Raw genomic sequence first — 23296 nt, forward strand, 5'->3', positions numbered from 1 at the left:
AAATATTATTAAGCCATACCTGCCTTACCCATCTCACAAAGTTATAACAAAAATTATACAAAATAATTTATGTGAAAAATCCTTGGGAACCACAAAACATTAAAAAATGTAAAAGCATTATTCCATAATGCAATAGCATTTTCATTTTATAATTTTTTTCAAAAATTTTTTAAATGCTACAACTAAATTTATGATACATGCTAGATGCTACTTTTAGGCTCAATTAAGCTTAGCATTTGGAAAAGCTGAAATATATACTTTCAAAGGATGGAAATTTTCTACACTATATGATTTAGAATCTCTTTTATATTGTTTTCTCATTCCTATAAAATAGACAAGCTATTTTATAGCCTAAAGTCATATTTATTTTTCAGTTCTGAAAATAGATTGAATCATACACACTGAGAGTGGCATATGAAGACTTCATTAATAAAAATAAAGTTGGTGATTCAAACTTCTGGTTTTGCTGAAACTGCTAAAGGATTCATGAATCGCATGAGGAACTTAATGTGGTTAAGTATCAAGTTTATTGACATTCAACTGTTGGTGAGGTTTATAAAATAGATTTATTCTATATAAGAGATGTTCCTCTCACAAGCTTTGACTCTTTCATCACCTTTCTGTAGGTCTTGACTGAAATAATAAAACAATATAAAATAATTAAAAATAAAAATGAAGTGATTCCATGTATCTGAATAAATATATTCACTACATTTAGTCTTTCTATCATATACATAGTGCAGGTGGAACACAAGCTTTCAAGAATCAAATGATGCTCACTTTGAATGTTTTCTTATCCACAATAGACAAGAATATCAAGCAGCCTTACCAAATTTGGAAGCAACTATTTAGTTGCTTTACAGATATTTATTTACAGATATTTATTTACAGATATTTATCTGTAAACCTCTAAATGATTGTCATAAACATAAAAGATAACTGCCTGAAATGTTACCTTTTCATAGACTAGGCTTTGACATTTTGTAAATATAAATGTAGCCAAAATATTGAAGTCAATCCAACTTCCCACATGCAAATATATTAATGTGTAACAGAAATCATCCTTTTGCCCAATTCCCCCTACGTGGCATCTTTATGTCCATCCCCCAATCCCCCAGGGGTTTCTCAGCATGAAGAGCCCAATTACAAAATAGGAAAAGCGCCACTCAAAGCCTATATATACATGCAGCTGCAAAGTGTTCTGGAGAGGTTAAAAGACTGATATGAATTTGGCCCACTGCATATAACCTGGAGCAATATTGCCAGAAAAGAGGATTTGAATGAGCCCAGGTTGGAAAAATAAATTACCTTTATGCCTTGAAGGCAATCTCCATGGGTCAAGGCTAATGCCTTTTTCTTTGCTATTGTGTGAGATAATCATCTCTATCACCTTTTTTTCTTTTCATTTTTTTTAAATAACTAGGTGGTTTTGACATTTTTGTGGTTGGTAATCTAATACTTTTTCACAAATTTTCTTTCAGGAAATAGAAAATTTTTTCAGTAATTGAATGAGAATGATGGATCATGCTAATAAATGTCTTTCTCAAAACCTGTCATAACTTTAAATCAAAGTCAGGGTATTAATATGAGACTCCTATATTCCTCATATTTATTTCATGTCAGCATGTGCCTAGCTGATGTCAACAGCAGAGGAAAATAACATCAGGGTTCAAGAAATGTGGTACCATTAACATTTACATGACGTATTGACTTGATAATGAACATCAGTAAACATTTCAGCCAAATATAAATAAAAATGTATTTGTGTCTATAACTATATTTAATATACAGAAACTTTAAGGAGAAAAACAAGTGAGCCTTGAGAGTAAAGGTGGTAACATAACACATAATTGTGGTAATGGTCAATGCAATTTAATGATTAGAGTTTATGAGCCAGATATCAAGCTGCTAATTTACTTTCATTATCTCTTATCATATTCATAGCAACACTATGAACTCCATATTATTATTCCCATTTTACAGATGACAAAACTAAATCTAGAGCAGTAAAATAATATTTTCAAGCCCACTCAGCTAGATAGTGACAGTAAAGAGAACTGAAACTTAGCAGATCTCTAATCAATAAGTCATACATATTGGCAAGAAGCTAAATCTGCAAAGATTGAGAGAGACTTTTTTCTAATTCACTCAGAGTGATTGTTTGCTCACGAAGCTGTGTGCCTTCAGGACTTTCTGCTCAAATCGACTGGTTTTTCTAATTTATGCAAATACGTCAAGTGACCTCATATTAGCCTGTGTGTTGCCAAATGTTCTAAAATTTCAAAAAGTTTGCTTTTACTCAGTTGATCAGGAATGAGATCATAGAGAAAAGAAATTTAAATTTAACCTAAAAAATAAATAGGATTTTAATGGGGAAGATGGAGAGTATAGTGGGAGGGTAAAAGAGGATCTTTTTAGAACATGCAAAGGATCCACATGCAGAAAAAAATAAGGCCTATTTGAGGTATAGGAGTTAGGATTGGCTGAAGCATAGATTTTCTAGCAAGATGGGAGATCGGACTAGAAAGGCCAACGTGTGGAACACTCAGAATGCTAAGTTAAGGTGTGTAGTCAATGGTCATGAAGCTGTGGAGAATTAGGAAGGAAACAACAGAGTCAAAAATAGGATTATTACTCTGGTGCTGGGTGTAGATATTTTTGAGCAGGTAATATGACAATAAGAAGACAATGGAGAAACTTTTAAGGCTAGACCTGAACTACACTAGTGTAGAAGTGGTGGAAATGGAGAAGAGAGGTAATCTATCACTAGACATGCAAGTATTATTCTTTCTTCCCGTGAACAATAGTTGTTTTTCGGTTCCTAGATTTAATGTTTGCTCCTGTGGTCATCAAATTTAAACACTAAAATGTTTTGGAATTTGATATAGTTGTGAAAATTATCTAATGACTTTGAATTATGATTTTAAGAGTTCAATCAAAGAATGAACTTTAATACCTGATATGCTTTGGCTGTGTCCCCATCCAAATCTCATCTTGAATTGTAATTCCCACAATTTCCACGTGTTGTGGGAGGAACCCGGTGGGAGGTCATTAAATTATGAGGGTGGGTCTTTCCTGCACTGTTCTCTGATAGTGAATTAGTCTCATGAGAACTGATGGTTTTAAAAATGGGAGTTTCCCTGCACAAGCTCTCTTTTTTTACCTGCCGCCATCCCCATAAGATGTGACTTACTCCTGCTTGTCTTCCACCATGATTGTGAGGCTTCCCCAGCCATTTGGTACTGTAAGTCCAATTAAACCTCTTTCTTTTGTAAATTGCCCAGTCTTGGGTATGTCTTTATCAGCAGCATGACAATGGACTAAAACAATACCCCTTCTTCTCTTCACCCTCTTAGTCTCCCAAAAAGATACCCAAACACATATACCCACATCGACACAAAAATACCTCTTCAGCCTACAGTTACTGTAGGATGCAGTATATAGAATGTTTGGCTCTAAGAGGGTATGTAGAGTTATTAACATCTTGTTTGGACACAAATAGAGGCCCTCAAGGAGCTCTATTTTCAGAGACTTTTAGGAAGAACTCAAGGATAAATTACTAGGACCATACATCCACTAATAGCAGTATTGAAACCCTACAAGGGTATTGATGCTTTTGAGTACTGACATCTTGACAATCAAGAGAAATCCCTTATATCATATCTGTGATATCATTTGATTCCCAACTGTTCTGTCTACCAAATTCAGGGAATTCTTCCCAGCAGAGTCTTCCTTTTTGTAAAGATCTTTTTGTATCATTTGACAACTGATAAGCAATTTTTAGCCAGGTATTATTTAGGCACATTCTTTTTATTTCTTACCTATTCATGTTTCCGTTAAAATTTGTTATAAATTTTTGCCAACTGATTTATTGGTATAAATCATCTTTCAGCTTATTATTACTGTAAATGTTATTCACTGTTAAACAAATAAGCCATAATTATTATCATTGTCATTAGCATAATTGCTTTTTACCAATTATTAACTCCTGCTAGTATGATCATGATTAATATTATTAGAAATCTGCCACCTCACTGAAAATGTTAAGAAATCCTATGTTTATTTTATAGATAAAAACTATTATTAAAAACTTGTAGCACCTTAAACTCATGTCTTAAATTGTTTCCATTCCAATCCCAATAACATAAATAATAGGACTGGCTTCCATTTATTTGTGTGTACAATAATGCTTGCGATGATAAGGTCACTGAAGGTCACCAAGACATTTACAGGAGCTTTCACTACACCTTGAAAAGTATATAGCCCAAACATATAGAGCTAGAGAAATCACTTCTTTTGGAACTACCAGAAAATATGTGATGGATTTAATAGTTTTAGTTCATATGACTCCAAAAAGTCAAATAATTGTAGTTAGCAGCATATTAACATAATCACCTCACATATAGTTTTATATTTTACCAGCTCCAATAAATCTACACCCCTAGATCTATATTAATATTTTAAATATAAATTAGCACATCTCAATACTTAATAAGTAGAAATTCAAGGAATAATGGACATTAAATTTTCTTATAAAAGGGAGCAAAGGTGTCTTATAAATTAGGTGTTCACTACAGGGAAAGGCATTAATCAGCTTTCAAAAGCTAAATTTGTCTCAAGCTCATTATTATTCAAAGCAGTGAATTTTCTCTGGTAACATGTCACAGAGGGAATAAGGAACGGAAATTCTAATGATAGCCCAGCAATTTACCATGAGGTTTTAATTAATTAATCTGGAGTTTATGCACATAAGACTGATTATATGAACCAAAGTTCAGTTCTACAAGTATTTCCCAAATTAAAGGAATGCTACATATTTCAATAATGTCAAATATGAAAAAATCGTACAAAATATGATTCAGTATATACCAAAATTAAGAAGCAGTTATAGTATACTTCTTTGCCAAACAAGGCAATCATTAATTTTTCTCACACTAAAGTACACAACAAAAGTATTTACAATTTATCATTACATCCAACATTGAAAAATGATAACAAAGTGATGACTTATATAATTTATATTGATGAAAATTGGGATGACATGAGGAATAAGCACTGACAAAGGTGTAGTATTAAACCTGGGCTTTCTGAGTTTGACTCTTGTTACAAATAATTTCACAAAAACCATTGATTATTAGATGTATATGTCCCTACACAGAAAAAAAGAAAAGAAAACTGGGCATGCACAAATTTTAAAATCAGTATTTTCCAGAAAGATGAGTATAATTTTCCTACCAATAAATCTAATTGATCCAGTTCTGGTGCCATAATGTTCATTAACTCCTTTGGTATTAAAGTGATTGGAAATAACATAAAAACCTGAGCATGTTGAATGGTATATGCTAACAGTCCAGTTCTAATACACTTATATTTGTGGTCATTACTAACAACATTATTCACATACACATAGCCAACCTTAATGCAAACGTTTCACATTTGCTAATGACAGTTTTTGATTACTTCAGAAGAGAGGTCCCCAAGTTAGGTTTATATGATGCAGATTGTCTCATAATCGAAGAACCTGTTAATTGAAGAATCACACTTATATCCCTTCAGTTTTAGCTAGGAACATCTGAAGGACTGATGACTAAGTTGCCTAGAGCTATCATTTTTTGAATTTCAGAAGGCACTGTGCTAGTTGCCTCTGCTTCTACACTTTCTCTATAACCTTTCTTTCTCTTTAAGCTCTTACTCAGCAGGCATGAAATGTATTTAGGAACACATGTATTATAAAAGTCTTTCAGATTAAAAATAGAAAACATTTACAGACTTGTTAAGACGATAGAAGGTTGTGGTTAAGAAACCCATGGAAGGAAGGACATAGAAATCATCTTAGCAGTTGTACAACTTTTTATCTCAGTACTTCTAATTGGCCTATGTCAAGTCTCACAAAGGGTGAGAGTAGCAGATTGTCAGCATTCAGAATACAGCATTCTCTTATTTGTGTGTGTCTTACATTCATGCTCCCCAAGTGTATTAGATTGGGTCCATAGGAAAAGATTCTGAGATAATAAGCTCTCTGCAGAAAGTTTATTGAAAAGTATTCTCAGGAGTTGCCTGCGTAAAGAAATGTGGAAGGCAGGACTGAACAGAAACACCTGCAATGTCATTGCAACTGAAGTCTTAGGCAATGCCAAGGGCAGCCCTGCAAATGGAATGGACTCTGAGTATTGTTCTGAATTGAGATGGGAGTAGGCTCTATAGCACCACATCAGCCAGTTACTGGTTATGCGTCAGCCTCTAGGAAATGACATAAGCTGGCTGAAACATTTCCCTGCAATGGAGGGCTATGCTCAGTGAGTGAAATAGTTGTACACTGTCAGCAGCCAATATTCCCAGCAGCAGAGAAATGGCACTTAGGTGAAGGATCAGAGCATTCACCACACCAGGATGGGACATATGACTGGGTCAGGATACCCCCATCTAAATAGGACCATATCATTAGGCTTGGCTTATTATACCAAGCCTATTCATGGTTGCCATTGGCTGGTGCCCCAGGAGCTGGTCCAACCAGTTAATGCCAAGTAAATTGGTCTGTTCTCACCCAAAACATAAAGTGTGAAGGATTGCCAAGGACTCTAGGTGTGGCAGGGATGTAAAGGTTTACAAACTCATCTTCAACATAACAAATTACCAACTTCTCAATAACAACACAGAAACAGCAACAATATAATAATATTTTATGTTAATTTGGTATTTACAGTCTAGATACTATGCTAAATACTTTACACAATTTATCTCATTTAATCTTAACGGGAACCCTATGAGGTGTTATTATTTTACTGTTACAGACGGAAAATTGAAACCCAGAAAAATGCAGAAAATGTATCCAATACAATAAAAATAATAAGTCATAGACCTTGAAACAAAGAGTTTCAGAGTCTTTCGTTTTAAGAATTTTACTAAACAACCCACAGAGTCTGGCTTATTAATGACCGTATACTACTTGTCACTTGCATGGAAATCTGTTGGCTTCATTTTAAGTATAAATCATTTTAAGTATAAAGTCATATGTACTATATTACAAATATTGCAAAAATTGACATTGTACTTGTTGGATTTGAAATCTGTTGGCTTAATTTTAAGTAAAGTATAAAGCCATATGTACTATATTACAAATATTGCAAAATTGACATTGTATTTATTCAGAGGTCCTATATCCAATGATCTTAACTCTTAAGAACATTATTGAGAACCACAAGACCAGTTTAAGAGACTTTTGTGTTCTGGTAGAAATGGAATAATGGGGATTGAATAATCTCTCCTGCCCTAAACAACTAGATGATTGGACAAAACCTATAACAATCATTATAAAAGATGAGACTGCTGTTGGAAAGCAAGTATCATGGGACTGTAATCTCTGAGAAAAAGGAAACAAATTGAGTGAGCCCTGAATGCATCAGCTCACTCCAGAGGCAGTTTCACACCACCTTTTAGGAAGATGGGACCCTAACAGAGCCCAGTGGTCTCACTGAATTGAAGAACCAGAGATCAATGTTGGAGGAATAAAGATGGTTAGAATTTGCTAAGAGGAATATGGTACTATAGAGGTAGAAGCTAAACAGGGAGAACTTCAGAGATCTGCAGAGGGGTCTACTTGAGGCTCTGAGTATTGACCTGTTCATGTGTGACAAGAAAACACCCAAGGCCAGAGAAACACTTAAAAACATTTGAAATACAAACAGGGCTGAAAGTAATTTGTGTCTCCAGAGCAGAGTGGAAAGACCTTGTAATGCAAGATCTATCCTGTAGAGTACTCACAAGTATGTTACCTTGGTTGTCAGCCTAAATTTGCCCTATGCGACAAGCTAATCTAAACCTACCTTACAAATACTTAAATAAAGCTTCAAAGATATCTACCTGATTCCTGCAGAATAAGTGCATGCCAGAACAAATTCTAACATTATTTAAAATTCAGCAAACAACAAAATAAAATTTACAACATCAGACATCCAGTCAAAAATTACCAGTTACAGAGTTACCTCATTTTATCGTGTTTCATTTTATTGTCCTTTGCAGATACTGCATTTTTTACAAATTGAAGGTTGGTGTCAACCCTGCATCCAGCAAGTCCATCAGCACCATTTTCCCAATGGCATGTGCTCATTTTGTGTCTCTGTATCACATTTTGGGAATTCTCACAAAATTTCAAAAGTTTTCATGATTATTACATCTTTTATGATGATCTGTGATGAGTGACTTTTGATGATACTACTGTAATTTTTTCAGGACACCTCGAAAACTGCCTATACAAAATGGTGACTTTCATTGACAAATGTTGTGTGTGTTCTTACTGCTCTACCAATTGGCTGTTTCCCCACGTCTCTACATATCCTAGGGCTCCCTATTCCCTAAGACTGAACAATATTGAAATTAGGCCAAATAATAACCCAACAAAGGCCTCTAAGTGTTCAAGCAAAAGAGTCACAGGTCTCTCACTTGAAATCAAAAGCTAGAAATGATTAAGCTTAGTGAAGAAAGCATGACCAAAGCCAAGACAGACTGAAAGCTCGACCTCTTGCTCTAGTTAGCCAAGCTGTGAATGTAAAGGAAAAATTCTTGAAGGAAATTAAAAGTGCTACTCCGATTAATACAAGAATGATAAGAAAGAAACAATGCCTTATTGCTGACATGGGGAAAATTATAGTGGTCTGGATAGAAGATCAAACTGTAACTCAGTAGCTTAGCTTCAAAACACATTTTAAAACCTTTTTTTTTCATTTTCTGTTTTCTCCCTAGTCTCAAGATGTAACCTTGAAGCAAACAACAGAAACCTTTTATTCCCTCCTTAGCCTTAAAAAAATACGCTAAAACATACTTTAAAACTCTGTTTCCCTCCCTTTCCCACTCTACACTATGTTACACCATGCACATTTACCTAACTATATACTTGTATTTAATTACGTGCTTACTTAGAAGTTCCAGTGGCTAATCTTGAGACAGACCAGGAATGGAGCCCAAGCTGCAAAATTCTAGAGATTACCTCAAGGTGGTAGTCAATATGCAGCCATTGTTGATATGATCCCAGACCACACTCCAGGTGGACCATGACTCAAGATAGCTACCAGAACAAGACACACAGACATTGTACCCAGCACTACTCCCCACATGCCTCTCATTCCCAGTTCCCTTTTTAAGCCCCTCTCCTCAGCATAAAGTTTGAAATGGTTCCTTTAAGGTATGAGCCTTGGCCATTTCTCCCACTGCTAGCTCTGGAATAAAGTCACTTTCCTTTCACCGCATTTTGTCCATGTTACTGACTTTGCAAGAAGTGAGCAGCTGAGTTTGTATTCGGTTACAAAACCAGCCACAACATTCCCTTAAGCCAAAACCTAATCCAGAAAAATACCGTCTCTTCAGTCCTATGAAGGCTAAGAGAGCTAAAGAAGCTGCAAAAGAAAAGTTTGAGGCTAGCAGAGATTGGTTTATGAGGTTGGAGGAAAGAAGCCATAAAAATATACCTTGTAATGCAAGATGGTATATCACCATACCATATCATCATACCATAAAAATGCAAGATGAAGTAGCAAGTGCTAATGTAGAAGCTATAGCAAGTTATGCAGAAGATCTAAAATAATTGATGAAGGTGGCAACACAAAACAACAGATTTTCTATGTATATCAAACAGCTTTATACTGGGAAAAGATGCCATCTAAAACTTTCATAGCTAGAAAGAAGTCAATGCCTGGGTTCAATGCTTCAGCAGACAGGCCTGACTCTTGTTAGGAGCTAATACAGTTGGTAACTTAAAGTTGGAGCTAATATTCATTTGGAATTCAAAAAATCCTGTAGCCCTTAAGAATTATGCTAAATCTACTCTGCCTGCATTCTATAAATAGAATCACAAAGCCTAGATGAGAGAATATCTGTTTACAGTATAGTTTACTGAATATTTTAAATGCACTATTGAGACTTACTGCTCAAAAAAAAAGGATTCCTTTCAAAATATTATTGCTCATTGACAGTGCACCTAGTCACTCAACAGCTCTGGTATAGAGGTACAAAGAGATTCATGTTGTTTCTATGCCTGCTAACACAATATCTGTTCTGCAGCCAATGGGAAAAGGAGTAATTTCAACTTTTAAGTCTTATTATATAAGGAATACATTTCATAAAGCTACAGATAGTGATTCTTCTGATAGATCTGGTCAAAGTAAATTGAAAATATTTTGGAAAGAATTCATCATTCTAGATGCCATTAAGAATATTTGTGATTCATAGAAGGAGGTCAAAATATCAACAGGAATTTCAAAAGAAGTTGATTCCAAACCTCATGGAAAACTATGAAAGTTTCAAGACTGCAGTAGAGGAAGTAACTGCAGATGGGATGGAAAGAGCAAGAGGATTAGAATTAGAAGTGGGGGGCCTGAAGATGTGACTGAATTGCTGTGATCTCATGATAAAACCAGGAGTTGCTTCTTATGGATGAGGAAAGAGAGTATTTCTTCAGATGCAATCTACTCCTGGTGAAAATGCTGTGAATATTGTTGAAATAACAACAAAGGATCTAGAATATCTCATTAACTTAGTACATAAAGCAGCAGCAGGGCTTGAGAAGATTGGCTCCAATTTTGAAAGAAGTTCTATTGTGGGTAAAATACTGTCAAAAAGCATTGCATGCTACAGAGAGATCTTTTATGAAAGGAAGTCAGTTGATGTGGCTGACTTCATTGTCTTATACTAAGAAATTGCCACAGTCACCCCAACCTTCAGCAGCCAACATCCCAATCAGTCAGCAGCCATCTACATCAAGGCGAGACCCTCCACGGTGAAAATATTACAACTCCCTAAAGGCTGGGGTGATCATTAGCATTTTTAAACAATAAACCATTCAACTCTGACCCTGTAGCAAAAAGCAATCATAGACAATATGTAAATGAAAGGATATGGCGAGGCTGCAATAAAACCTTATTTCACAAAAGAGGTGGCACACCCATAAGCCGTAGTTTGCCGAACCCCTTCCTAGAGCTAAAAATACCACATCGGATATTTTTTTAAAAGCCATAAATAGGATTAACTTCAGATGAGATTCTGTAGCAGAAGAGATTAGTGAAATTAACACGGTAACTATTCACAATGAAATATAATGAGAACGAAGATGGAAAAGGAGGAATATAGAGAGGATCAGTTACCTTCGAAACCATATCAAGCAGTCTAGCCGAAAAATTGGAGTCCCTGAAGACAGAAAGGGGACAGAAAAAATATTTGAAAAAATAATGGCTGATTATTTTTCCCAAAATTTATTGAAAACAAACCCACAGATCAAGACAGCTCCAGAAACCCCAAGAAGATGAGGAAAGTAGGCTTAGACTTGTTAGGTAATTTTTCCAAGACTTTTTTATTACAAGGTATGTACCAATTCATGTTTGTTGATTCAAGAACCCAAGTTTATACCTATTTGGTACACTTTCTCCCAAGCTTGCCAGAATGAGTCTAGTCTCCATAATAAGAGTGAAAATATTGTTTTTAGAGAAACCCATGTGTATCAGGCACTGTACAAGATATTATCTCATGTACTATCTCATTTGGTCACAACTTATCTAGTAGATAAGAATCATTTTCTCCATTTTACAGATGGAAGAACTGAAACTAGCAGAATTAACATTGTGTGTTTAAATAATTGCCAGTAAAGTAGGGGAAAAAATGCACTCTCAAGTCTTCTGTATTTCCAGGCAGGGCTTTCCTATAGAGATATGTGGATGGCATATCCCCCGCCAAAAATAATAGCTGTAGATATGCGAACTATTCAAAAAAGAAATTGTTATATGTGTTATACAACTAGAAATCATGCAGTTTAGGAATATTTGAAATATGAACTCATTGAAAAGAAGGAAAATAAGACCTTCAATTTAACCATTAGGTCAGGCAATTGCTGGCACATCTAAATTACTGACAATAAATCTCAGAGCAAGTACAATACTTCTAAGTATGGTTATAAGAATTAGAATCATAAAACCATAGAATTGTGAAATTACTTACACATCATAGAATCCAATCCCTTCTTTTTGGAGAAATGGAAACATACCCCAGAAGGTTAAATCATTTGCCCAAAATAACATGATTGGTTGTTGACCCTTTCTACTAAGCCATCCCCAGTTCCACTCCAGAAAATATAAATTATTCATGCAGAAAGACAAACTTAATTTTGGCAGGTCAGAGATTTCAGAAAGATGTGAATTGGCTAAGGGTTGTGATTTATGAATCTAGGCAGCTATTCAGATTGCCTTATCTCAGCTGTCCCTCTGTGAAACATACCATTCTGAGTACCTAAATTGACCTCTATTCAACCCCACTTTACCATCATTGGGTATGTCATGAGAAGAAGGGTAAATTACTCTGACCCAATGCAAAATACTGAGAATCAAAAAATGGTAGAGAGGAAACATATATAGAGATTACTTCCCCTTGTTTTCCAGATGTAAAATAAGCCAAGACAGTTTGTGACCATACTCTGAAGGATTAAATATAAATCATCCTTTATTTTAAGCAAATTATCAGCAGCATACATTTCAACCATATACACATATACATGTGCATGCATATACACATATACATGTGCATGCATATACACATATACATGTGCATGCATATACACATATACATACATACACAATTACTCATGCTTTTATGTAAGCCCCATGGAGGCAAGGGCTACACTGTTCTCACAAATTTCTAACACCTTGCACAGTAGCTGGTATTATATATAGATGCTCAACATTTATTCAAAAGAAAAAAGGGGTGAATAAGGACAAACACATAGAACAGCACAGCTCTAAAGCAATGAATGTAACTTGCTTTTTTATTTTCAGATTTATCATGGTATACCTAACAAATAATTATAGGTATTTAAGGTGTACAACTTCATGTTTTGATATTCATATACATTGTGAAATAATGACCACAGTAAAGCTAATTGACATATCCATCGCCTCCCATAATTATCTTTGTGTGTGTGATAATTACCTGTGTGTGTGTGTGTGAACATATTCACAGTGAGAATATGTAAGAGTTACCTCTTACCAAATTTCAAGTATACAATACGGTATTGTTAAACTATAGTCACATTGCTGTACATTAGATTTCCAGAAGTTATTCATCTTGCATAACTGAAACTTTCTAGTCTTTGACCATCTTCCCATTTCCCACTCCCCACTAGCTTCTGGCAATCACCATTCTACTCTCTGCTTCTATGAATTTGACTATTTTAGAGATTCCATATACAGTGAAATCATATAGTATTTGTCTTTCTGTTTCTGGCTTATTTCCCGTCAACATAATGTCCTTCATTTTCATTCATGTTGCAAATGGCAGGATTTTCCTCCTTTAAGGGCTTAACAATATTCCTCTCTCTCTCTGTGTGTGTGTGTGTGTGTGTGTGAGATTTCTTTATACATTAATCTGTGGATGGACATTTAGGTTGTTTCCATACCTTGGCTATTGTTGAATCAGGCTGTAGTGAACACTGGGGTGCAGATAGCTCTATGAGATAATGATTTCATTCCCTTCAGGTTTATACCTAGAAGTAAGATTGCTGAATTATTAAGGTAGCTCTATTTTTAATTTTTTGAGGAATCTCCCTACTGTTTTCCTTAATGACTATTTCAATTTACACTCCCACCAACAGTGTGTACAAGTGCTCCCTTTTCTCTACATCTTACCAACACATCTTTTATTTTATAATAGCCATTCTAACAGGTGTGAAGTGATATCTTATTGTGATTTTGATTTGTATTTCCCTGATAATAAGCGATGTTGAGCACTTTTTAAGACTTATTGGCCATCTGTGGTTCTTCTTTTGAGAAATGTCTATTTATTTTTCTGCCCATTTTTGAGTCAGGTTATTTGAGGGATTTTTTTTTTTTTTTTTTTTTTTTGCTGTTGAGTTGTATGAGTTCTTCATATATTTTGGATATTAACCCTTATCAGATATACAGTTTGCAAATAATGTTCTCCCAATCTGTAGGTTGCTCATTCAATGTTGGGTTTTGGGGGGGTTTATTTAGTTTTGGTTTTGAAGGCCTTTTACTTTTGTGTGTGTGTGGTTTTTGTTTTGTTTTATTTTGTTTTTGCTGTGCAGAAGCTTTTTAATTCAAATAACTTATCTGTATTTTTGTTTTTGTTGTCTGGCTTTTAGTGTCCTATCCAAAAATTCATGCTCAGACCCATGCGAAGAAGCTTTTGTTTTATGTTTCCTTCCAGTAATTTTATGTTCTCAGGTCTTACACTTAAAACTTTAATTGATTTGGAGTTGATTTTTTTATAGGGGGTGAAATAAAGGTCCAATTTCATTTTTCTGCATGTGGATATCCAGTTTTCCCAGCATGATTTGTTGTAGAAACTATCACTTCCCCACTGGATTTTCTTTACATTCTTGTTGAAGATAAGTTGACCTTCTGGTGGACTTATTTTGGGGATCCCTTAATTTCCGTTTGTCTGTGTGTCTGTTTTTATGCCAATACTATACTATTTTGATTACTGTAGTCTTTATAGTATATTTTTAAATCAGGAAGTATGATGCCTCCAGCTTTGTTTTTCTTGATCAAGATTGCTTTGGTTATTTGGGATCTTTTGTAGTTTCATATAAATTTTAGGATTGTTTTTTCTATTTCTGTATAGAATGCAGAATTGAGGTTTCAGTAGGGATTGCATTGAATCTGTAGATCACTTTGGATAGTGTGGACACTTTAATAATATTAATTTTTCCAATACATGCATATGAATGTCTTTCCATTTATCTGTCTTTTTTTTTCTTCATCAGTGTTTTATAATTTTCATTGTACAAGTCTTTCGCCTCTTTGGTTCAGTTAATTCCTGAGTATTTTTTTCTTTTTATTGCTATTGTAAATGAGATTATTTTATTAATTTCTTTTTCAGGTAGCTCATTTTTTGTTTGTGTACAGATATGTCACTGATTTTTGTGTGTTGATTTTGTGTCCTGCAACTTTACTGAATTCATTTGTTAGTTCTAACAGGATTTTTTGGTTGAGTCTTTAGTGTCTCCTACTTGTATAATTATGTTATCTGCAAACAGAGATAATTTTACTTCTTTTTTTCTGATTTAAATGTTGATATGGTTTGAATTTGTGTTCTTGTCCAAATCTCGTTGAATTGTAATCCTCAATGTTGGAGGTGGGACCTGTGGGAGATGTTTGGCTCATGGGGGCAGATTTCCACCTCAGTGTTGCTCTTGTGACAGTGAGTGAGTGCTCGTGAGATCTGGTTGTTTAAAAGTGTGTAGCAGCTCCCCACGCTTTCTCTCTCTCTTCCTCCTACTCTGGCTGTACAAATAAATGCCTGCATCCCCTTCGCCTTCTGCCATGATTTTAAGTTTTCCCCAGCCATGCTTCCTGTACAGCCTGTGGAATCATAAGCCAATTAAACCTCTTTTCTTTATAAATTACCCAGTCTCCATTATTTATTTATAGCAATGCATGAACAGGCTAGTACAGATATCTTTTTGGGTCCAATTGCTCTGGTTATGACTTCTAGTACTATGTTGAATATAAGTGGCAAATGTGGGCATCCTTACTTTGTACTGGATCTTAGAGGAAAAGCTTGCAGTTTTTTTTCCATTGATTATGATGTTAGCAGTGGGCTTTTCATATATGGCCTTTATTATGTTGAGGTAAGTTCCTTTTATGCCTAATTAGTTGAAAGGTTTTATGAGGAATTGATTTTGAATTTTGTCAAATGATCTTTCTGCATCTATTGAAATGATCATGTGGTTTTTGTCTTTCATTTTGTTAAGTTGGTATATCACATTTACTGATTTGCAATGTATTAAGCAATCCTTGCATCTCAGAGATAAATCCCACTGGTGTATTATTCTTCTATCTATGTTGCTGAATTTGGTTTGCTAGTATTTTATGGAGGGTTTTTGCATCTGTACTCTTCTGGGATGTTGCCCTGTAGTTTTCTTGTGGTGTTTTTGTCTGACTCTGGCAACAGGGTGAAAATGGCTTCATAAATTGAGTTTGGCAGTGTTCCTCTTCAATTTTTCAGAAGAGCTTAAGAGGAATCAGTATTCATTCTTCTTTGAATGTTTGGTAACTTGTTGCAAACTATTAAATTAGACCAGATGTCAATGTAATAATATATAACATTTATGCATTAATTTGCATGTGTTAATCATCATGCATAATGCTTTAACTCATTTTTATTTATTTTGATCCTATTTTGGGTTCTGAACAAAATTTACCCTGTTTCTTGTTTACACCACAAGGTCTTAAATGCTTTTAATCTCAGAAAGAAGTTTTAGGACACCAAGAATGTCTACCAAAAGATTATACATTACTCCCAGGGTTTAGAATAGTACTGGCATATAGTAGTGATTAATAAATGTCAGCAACTTTTTGTACTAATAGTAGTAGTAGTAAATCTGAGCTCGCCTTCCCTCCTTTATCTGAAACTAAAAACTTCAAGCAAATTTGAGCAAACACCCTTGTATTGGTGCCTCAAATTTTGCCCACTTACTCAGAAAATTTATAAATGTATCCTGGTCATTTTAAAAATTTTAGGGCTAAAAGAACAAAGGTATATTTTAATGATTAAATTAACTAACAGCCTTAAGTCTTTCTGGGGTTCACTCCCACTAGTCCTTGCTTACAAGTAGATGTCTTGGTATCTTGATAGACTCAAAAGGAAAATGCACTTATTTTCCAAGTAGAGACAGAGAGAGAGAGAGAGAAAAGACATTGAAAACAGACATGGAATTTGCGTCTGTTATTTATTCTTCCCTGAAACACTCTTACTCTGGCCAACACAAAGGTTCTTTACCCTCAAGGAAGTAGTGACTCTTCTTTGCTTAAGGAGTATTAATTTGTTAATATATAGTAGTCTGTATAACAAGGAGACCATAGTTGGTCCACGGTCTCATTAAGGACAGGATAAATGTTCTCCGAATCCTTTCATAATCCACATACAACAATCACTTGAGGTAAATACGATTTTCATTGCCAGTTTGAGAAACTGGGATTCAAGGACGTGAAATAATCTGCTTGAGACCTCAAATCTCTGATTCCAGAGCCCGTGATCTTAGGTACTGTGTGCTCCCTCCTACTCACATTAATGCCATTCATTTATATGGGGTTCTTTGTATTTCTCAACTACACCCCTGGTATGAATTGTACTTGGTTAGTTCTCTGCTTGGCCTTTGCTCTTCGCACTGAGATCTGCTGAGGAGTGTAAATAAGGGCCAGGCTCTGCAGCACCATCCAGGTGCTATGTACCCCAATAATTTTCTGAGCTCTTCAGAGGAGAAAATAAGGTCAAAGTTTATTTCCCCCTCACTTACCCATGTTTCAGCAATCAATCTACATTACCTTGCAAAGAGACCTAGAGATGAGTTTGCAGGAAAAACTTGGAGAAAATATAGAGAGGTCAGGACTGGCTACATGTGATTTTTTTTTTTCTAATTTCTAGTCTCCCTAGCCATAAAACTTTCTAATGTAAGAAATGGTCTTAGGGTAAAAGTCAAATTAATGGTGTGGCTATAATGTCCTTTGATTAGACTTTTTAAATATTTAAGGCATGACTAATGACTATCTCAATTAGACAAAAGATTTCTAGATATCTTAAGAGCACTTCAGAAAAGCCTAATCCAAAAATAGCTGTAAATGTATGTGTAGAGAGAGATATTTCTTTAATTATATGACTCTTACTAAAACTAAGTATATTAAATCTATTACACAGAAAGCCAAAGAGTGATTAAGAGGGTTGTACCAGCAAAACAACTATTACTTTGGCTTAAAAGGCCAGATATTGGTCAAATTATAAAGAAGATTTCTGGCCCCCCAGCTTTTTTCTAGCAAGAAGCAGTCTGAGCAAGTTATTTACTCAAGCATAGTCATTTCTTTTTTTAATGAAAAAGGGAAGACACTTTCGGCCAAGAACACAGAGAATGGAGCTACAGGCCACTGACAACAATGGACCAGGGAACCACTTCCATTAAGCAGAAGAGTATAGTATACTGCAGAACAGCTTTCAGGGTAATACTACTGTGCCTTAATCATGGAATGTTCCCTGCCTCCAGAGTAGGGACAACAGGCAATATTTTTCCTAGCAAGATTTCAGAATTGTTATGGACCAGTGACCGTTACATATCTCCTGTTTTTCCACTTTTGGAGTGTAAGTGTCTACTGTAGTCATCCTATTCCTGTATCACCATTGTATATTGATGTCATGTAGAACATAACTTTTCCCTTTGTTTCTCCAGATTCTAGATCAAGAGTAGCCACATCCAGATATAATGCAAATCACAAAATCCTGGACTTCAATCTTAATTCTATAATTAGATGACAGTTTTGGCATCCTGTAATGAAAGTGAAGACATGCGGGAGGCATGTTAACATTTGTAATCAGCAGGCACATTGCAATAGAATATACAGTTGTCAACAAATATTTTCTTTTCATACACCCACACCTCTGCAATGTGACTTCACAGATCCATCAAGAGGTAGAAGATGTTTCTCAAATCTAGGTTCATTTTGAAACTTTCTTTGCCTAATGTAACATTAGCAAACGTAAAGCAAGCAGAGTCCTAAACAATGCTTATGCATTGAGAATCGCCCTTTTTCTGCTTTTGGAACCTGCAGCTGTTAGCATGCAAGAAACACAGGTTGTCACTCCAATATACACCCTTACCAATTGCCATACATTTGAGATCAGTCTCACTAAGGATCATATTTTCCTAAAGAAATAAGCAACATCCCTCCTCAGCCTAATCTTTATGTGTGATATTTTGGCCCACGTATGGTTTATTCCTTTGTTTTATTACCCAATTGGATCAGAACATGTAAGAGAAAGATTGGCATTATTTGGCCCTCATAGATCTCAGCAATGACAATGATGCTGCACTCCCTTCTTCTACACATGCAATTAAGGTTCAAGACAATTCTATACACCCCTGAAAGGAGACACTGATGATTTCTACATGTCTGACAATTGTATACAGTTGACTAAACAATAGCATTCACTACTGTACAATGGTAAAAGCCAAAGCACTATTCCTTCTTATGCAAATGGTTGTTAGGGCTTTTAGATGTCACTTCTTGGGAATCAACACAAAGCAAACCTGAAATTCTGATTCTGAGAAGATGGGAATATACACAAATATCTCTTATCTAACCATTCTGAGGGATCATTAAGTTGTCCATGTTTATTTGTTCCTATCCAGCACAGTACTCCTATTCAATGAGAACACTGTCCCCTGTTTATTGGTTACAAATACATGTATCATGCAGTCACTTCTCCACTTGCTGGAAGAAAGCAATGACATTGTCTGGAGTTACAATCTTTGGCAGATCACAAGAAAATGAGAAAGGCAAGTGAAGAAAGCAAATATAATCAATGATTAGCTGTATGACATTATAGGTGGATGGAAGATAGTAAGCAGATATGTAAGTCAGAAGGTAGTTACTGGTCTGTCTTGGTGCCTGCTGGTCCTCAACACCCATAACAATGTCTTACAGATGATGTATCTGCTGAAGGACAAAAGAAAGGATGGGAAGGATTGTTCTCATGATATGTGCTAGCTCCTGGCCTTGCCTTAATTAGTAGTTCGCTATCTTTTTCCTTAGCCCAGAGATCTAATTACAGATTTTTCCATGTCTGTGGCAAGCATTCAACAACTAGACAAATATAGCAATACATCAATAATATTCAATAATGCAATAACTATTATATCCTGTGTTAACAATTTCTTAGGATTTCCCAGAAATTAATTATACTCTATGGAAGTAAACAATAAAGAATCAGGAATATTTCCCATGTACTTTTCCTTTAGGACACACCTAAATAAAATAAAAAGGAAAAGAAAAAGATTACTTCAACATTATCAGAGAAAACTCCAAGCTAAAGAGCCCACTAATTTAGATACAGTCCATTTTTAGGTAATTGCAGAAGCGTTGAGTGCTCAGAACCTTTGTGGGGGTGGCCTCTTGCTTTGCTGGCACTCCTGGCTGGCTGGCTGGCTGGCTATGCTGACAGTGTAAGTCAAGGGATTATTAGATTGGCCACATGCTCTCTGCTTTTGTTTCTTTGTTTTTGTTTTGTTTTGGGACAGAGATAGGAAGGTTGAATGGGGCCCCAGAGATCTAAGAGTAAAGGAGGAGGGGAGAGAAATTTGTAGTGATGAGTGTTTTCTGCTGTAAGAGTCCTGAGAGAATGTAAGAGTTTGATTCTGGCAGAAGCAAACTGGCAATGTGGGTCAAGAATTAACCAACAGGAATGCCAGGATAACATCTCCTGAGACATGTCTCTAAATTACATCAAAAACTTCTATGAAGGATGTGTAAGTATTATACAAACAAAAAATCAATTGTATGAGTCTTTTCTGAGTATTTTACCCTGAATTGCATAAGTCTTGGTGAATAAATTCTCTACATCTATGGAGAATACTGTTAAGTGTCAACCATATACTTCAAAATATTCTGAATTTAAAACTATAAAGAGAAAAATTCAGGAAGTGTCTTTAGATGTTGGTGTTTTAGTGTGGCTCACTCTCTCAATTCCCTAATTAAGAAGCAGAGGAAAAAAGCTTTAACTACAATTAATAAACATTATTTGGTTGTTAAGATAGTGTACGGACTGAGCTTACTACTGGATTTTTTATCTAATTTTCAAAAAGAAGTATTAGATATTCTGATTTTATTTCAAAGGGATTATAATGGTGGGGATATTAATTGAATTCAAAGCTGTATAAATATTTCCAAAATTACACATTTGATTAGCCACATGTCCCTATCAACTATTGCTTTTCATATTTTAAGAGTGAGAAATCTCATAATGCAGGAATTATATTTGATTTGATGATCTCTAAGGGTCTATTTGGCTTCAAAACTTCTTGACTCTTACATTTTTTAAATGTGATATAAGGATTTTTTTAAATGTCCTCCTTTAATGTTTGTGTTTAAAAGATTTTTTTTCTCCTAAAACCATAACAGGTTAAACCTCCAACTGTGATTGGTCAATTCCACACCCTTTTCTTTGGATCGATCCGAATATTCTTCCTCGGGGTGCTAGGCTTTGCAGTTTATGGGAATGAGGCCTTGCACTTCATTTGCGATCCAGACAAAAGAGAAGTAAACCTCTTCTGTTACAATCAGTTCAGGCCAATCACTCCACAAGTAAGTTTTTCTGTGTGCACATAAACATTAACTCTACAACAAACTCATTTTCTCTTTAAATGTAAAATAATGTCATAATATGAGAAATACCCTAACAGGTTTTTTGTTCCTAAGGATTATGTTACTTTTTCTTTAATTAGCTGTATATTTCAGATAAATTGAGTTTTGGGGAGTTTCTTCCAATTCTGGCATTTTATTATCTACTAATGTTATCATTATTCTCCAGATCTATATTTGGGATATAGACTAGCTGTCTAATAAAATAAACTACTTCATCATTATCAGTCATTGAGAGGCAATTACAGTAATATATGACTATGTTTTCACAATAAATATGTTCAACATTACTACCTTCATTATATTAAGACACATATAAGATTTTTATGAAACTTGGAATTTTTAAATTAGACTCTGTTGAGAGTTAGTGGGGTTTTTTTAGTGTATTTTAGTTACATATTGATTAATTGATTTACTAAGATATTTCTGACATACTTTAGGTGTTCTAGGCATTACAACTAGTTATTGTCCTGGTTCCTGGAGCTCTTTTCCACCTTTATGCTGCATGTAAAAGCATCAATCAAGAATGCATTCTTCAAAAGCCTATCTACACTATAATTTATATACTCTCTGTTTTATTAAGAATTAGTCTAGCGGCAATAGCATTCTGGCTTCAGATTTACCTCTTTGGTTTCCAAGTAAAATCTCTTTACCTGTGTGATGCTAGATCTCTTGGGGAAAACATGATTATAAGATGCATGGTTCCAGAACACTTTGAAAAAACCATTTTTCTCATTGCAATAAATACATTTACAACAATTACAATTTTATTATTTGTTGCTGAGATTTTTGAGATCATATTTAGAAGATTATACTTTCCATTCAGACAATGACCAAATAATTACCTATTGTCATGCTGCAGTTATTTATCATTTTTATTTAGTTTTATCTTACTCAGTGAGTACAATTTCAAAACAAACTTACTTCAATGTGTCTGAAATTTTTGTCTACTATAAAATATAGTGCCTGGTTGTAAGGTAAGGATTCTTGAAGAAATATTTCATTTTAATTTTGATCACTTTTATTAGAAAATATACACAGAACTACTGTTAATTTATTTTTAAACAGTGCTTTTACAGAGTTCTCTCACATACATGTTAATTGATCAGTTTTTCTGTGGCCAGAGAAACTTTTATTGTCTTTTTTTACGAAGTGGAAAATTGATGCTCATGAGGGTTAATTTAGGTGGTCAAAGTCATAATCCAGATATTTATATTTCCCTTTCTGTGGAACTATACAGTTTTAAATTTGAGGGTGTAATTATTTTGCATTCATGTAAAATATAACTTATTAAGCACAAAAGTTGGAAATTAATTATTAAAGAGTAATTACATAGTTTGACCATTAACTTGAAGAAATTGAACAATTACATTTTTAAAATTTTATTCAATCGGTTTTCTTTTCTTTTATTTATTATTATTATACTTTAAGTTTTAGGGTACATGTGCACAATGTGCAGGTTAGTTACATATGTATACATGTGCCATGCTGGTGTGCTGCACCCATTAACTCGTCATTTAGCATTAGGTATATCTCCTAATGCTATCCCTCCCCCCTCGCCCCACCCCACAACAGTCCCCAGAGTGTGATGTTCCACTTCTTGTGTCCATGTGTTCTCATTGTTCAATTCCCATCTATGAGTGAGAACATGCGGTGTTTGGTTTTTTGTCCTTGCGATAGTTTACTGAGAATGATGATTTCCAATTTCATCCATGTCCCTACAAAGGACATGAACTCACCATTTTTTATGGCTGCATAGTATTCCATGGTGTATATGTGCCACATTTTCTTAATCCAGTCTATCATTGTTGGACATTTGGGTTGGTTCCAAGTCTTTGCTATTGTGAATAGTGCCACAATAAACATACGTGTGCATGTGTCTTTATAGCAGCATGATTTATAGTCCTTTGGGTATATACCCAGTAATGGGATGGCTAGGTCAAATGGTATTTCTAGTTCTAGGTCCCTGAGGAATCGCCACACTGACTTCCACAAGGGTTGAACTAGTTTACAGTCCCACCAACAGTGTAAAAGTGTTCCTATTTCTCCACATCCTCTCCAGCATCTGTTGTTTCCTGACTTTTTAATGATTGCCATTCTAACTGGTGTGAGAT

The 23296-nt window shown here is 34.9% G+C and overlaps 2 protein-coding genes across 4 annotated transcripts in view; one reads left to right on the forward strand and one right to left on the reverse strand.

Moving 5' to 3' along the window:
* Positions 1–23296, reverse strand: part of NMBR (neuromedin B receptor) — a 72639-nt gene that overhangs the window by 38424 nt on the left and 10919 nt on the right. The window lies entirely within an intron of this gene.
* On the forward strand, positions 20018–22451 carry GJE1 (gap junction protein epsilon 1). Its single transcript, NM_001358410.2, has 3 exons — positions 20018–20290; positions 20943–21137; positions 21632–22451. Exons 1-3 carry the CDS (start codon positions 20252–20254, stop codon positions 22013–22015), a joined length of 618 nt encoding a protein of 205 aa, NP_001345339.1. The 5' UTR covers positions 20018–20251; the 3' UTR covers positions 22016–22451.

The sequence above is a fragment of the Homo sapiens genome, chromosome 6 (genome assembly GCF_000001405.40).
Source record: "Homo sapiens chromosome 6, GRCh38.p14 Primary Assembly".
Taxonomy (NCBI): domain Eukaryota; kingdom Metazoa; phylum Chordata; class Mammalia; order Primates; family Hominidae; genus Homo; species Homo sapiens.

Coding starts and splice junctions, on each gene's coding strand:
- GJE1 (NM_001358410.2), top strand. CDS start 20,252: ATGTCTCTAAATTACATCAAAAACTTCTATGAAGGATGT. Junction 20,291..20,942: donor AAAACTTCTATGAAGGATGT/GTAAGTATTATA, acceptor AAACCATAACAG/GTTAAACCTCCAACTGTGAT. Junction 21,138..21,631: donor CTCCACAAGTAAGTTTTTCT/GTGTGCACATAA, acceptor TAGGTGTTCTAG/GCATTACAACTAGTTATTGT.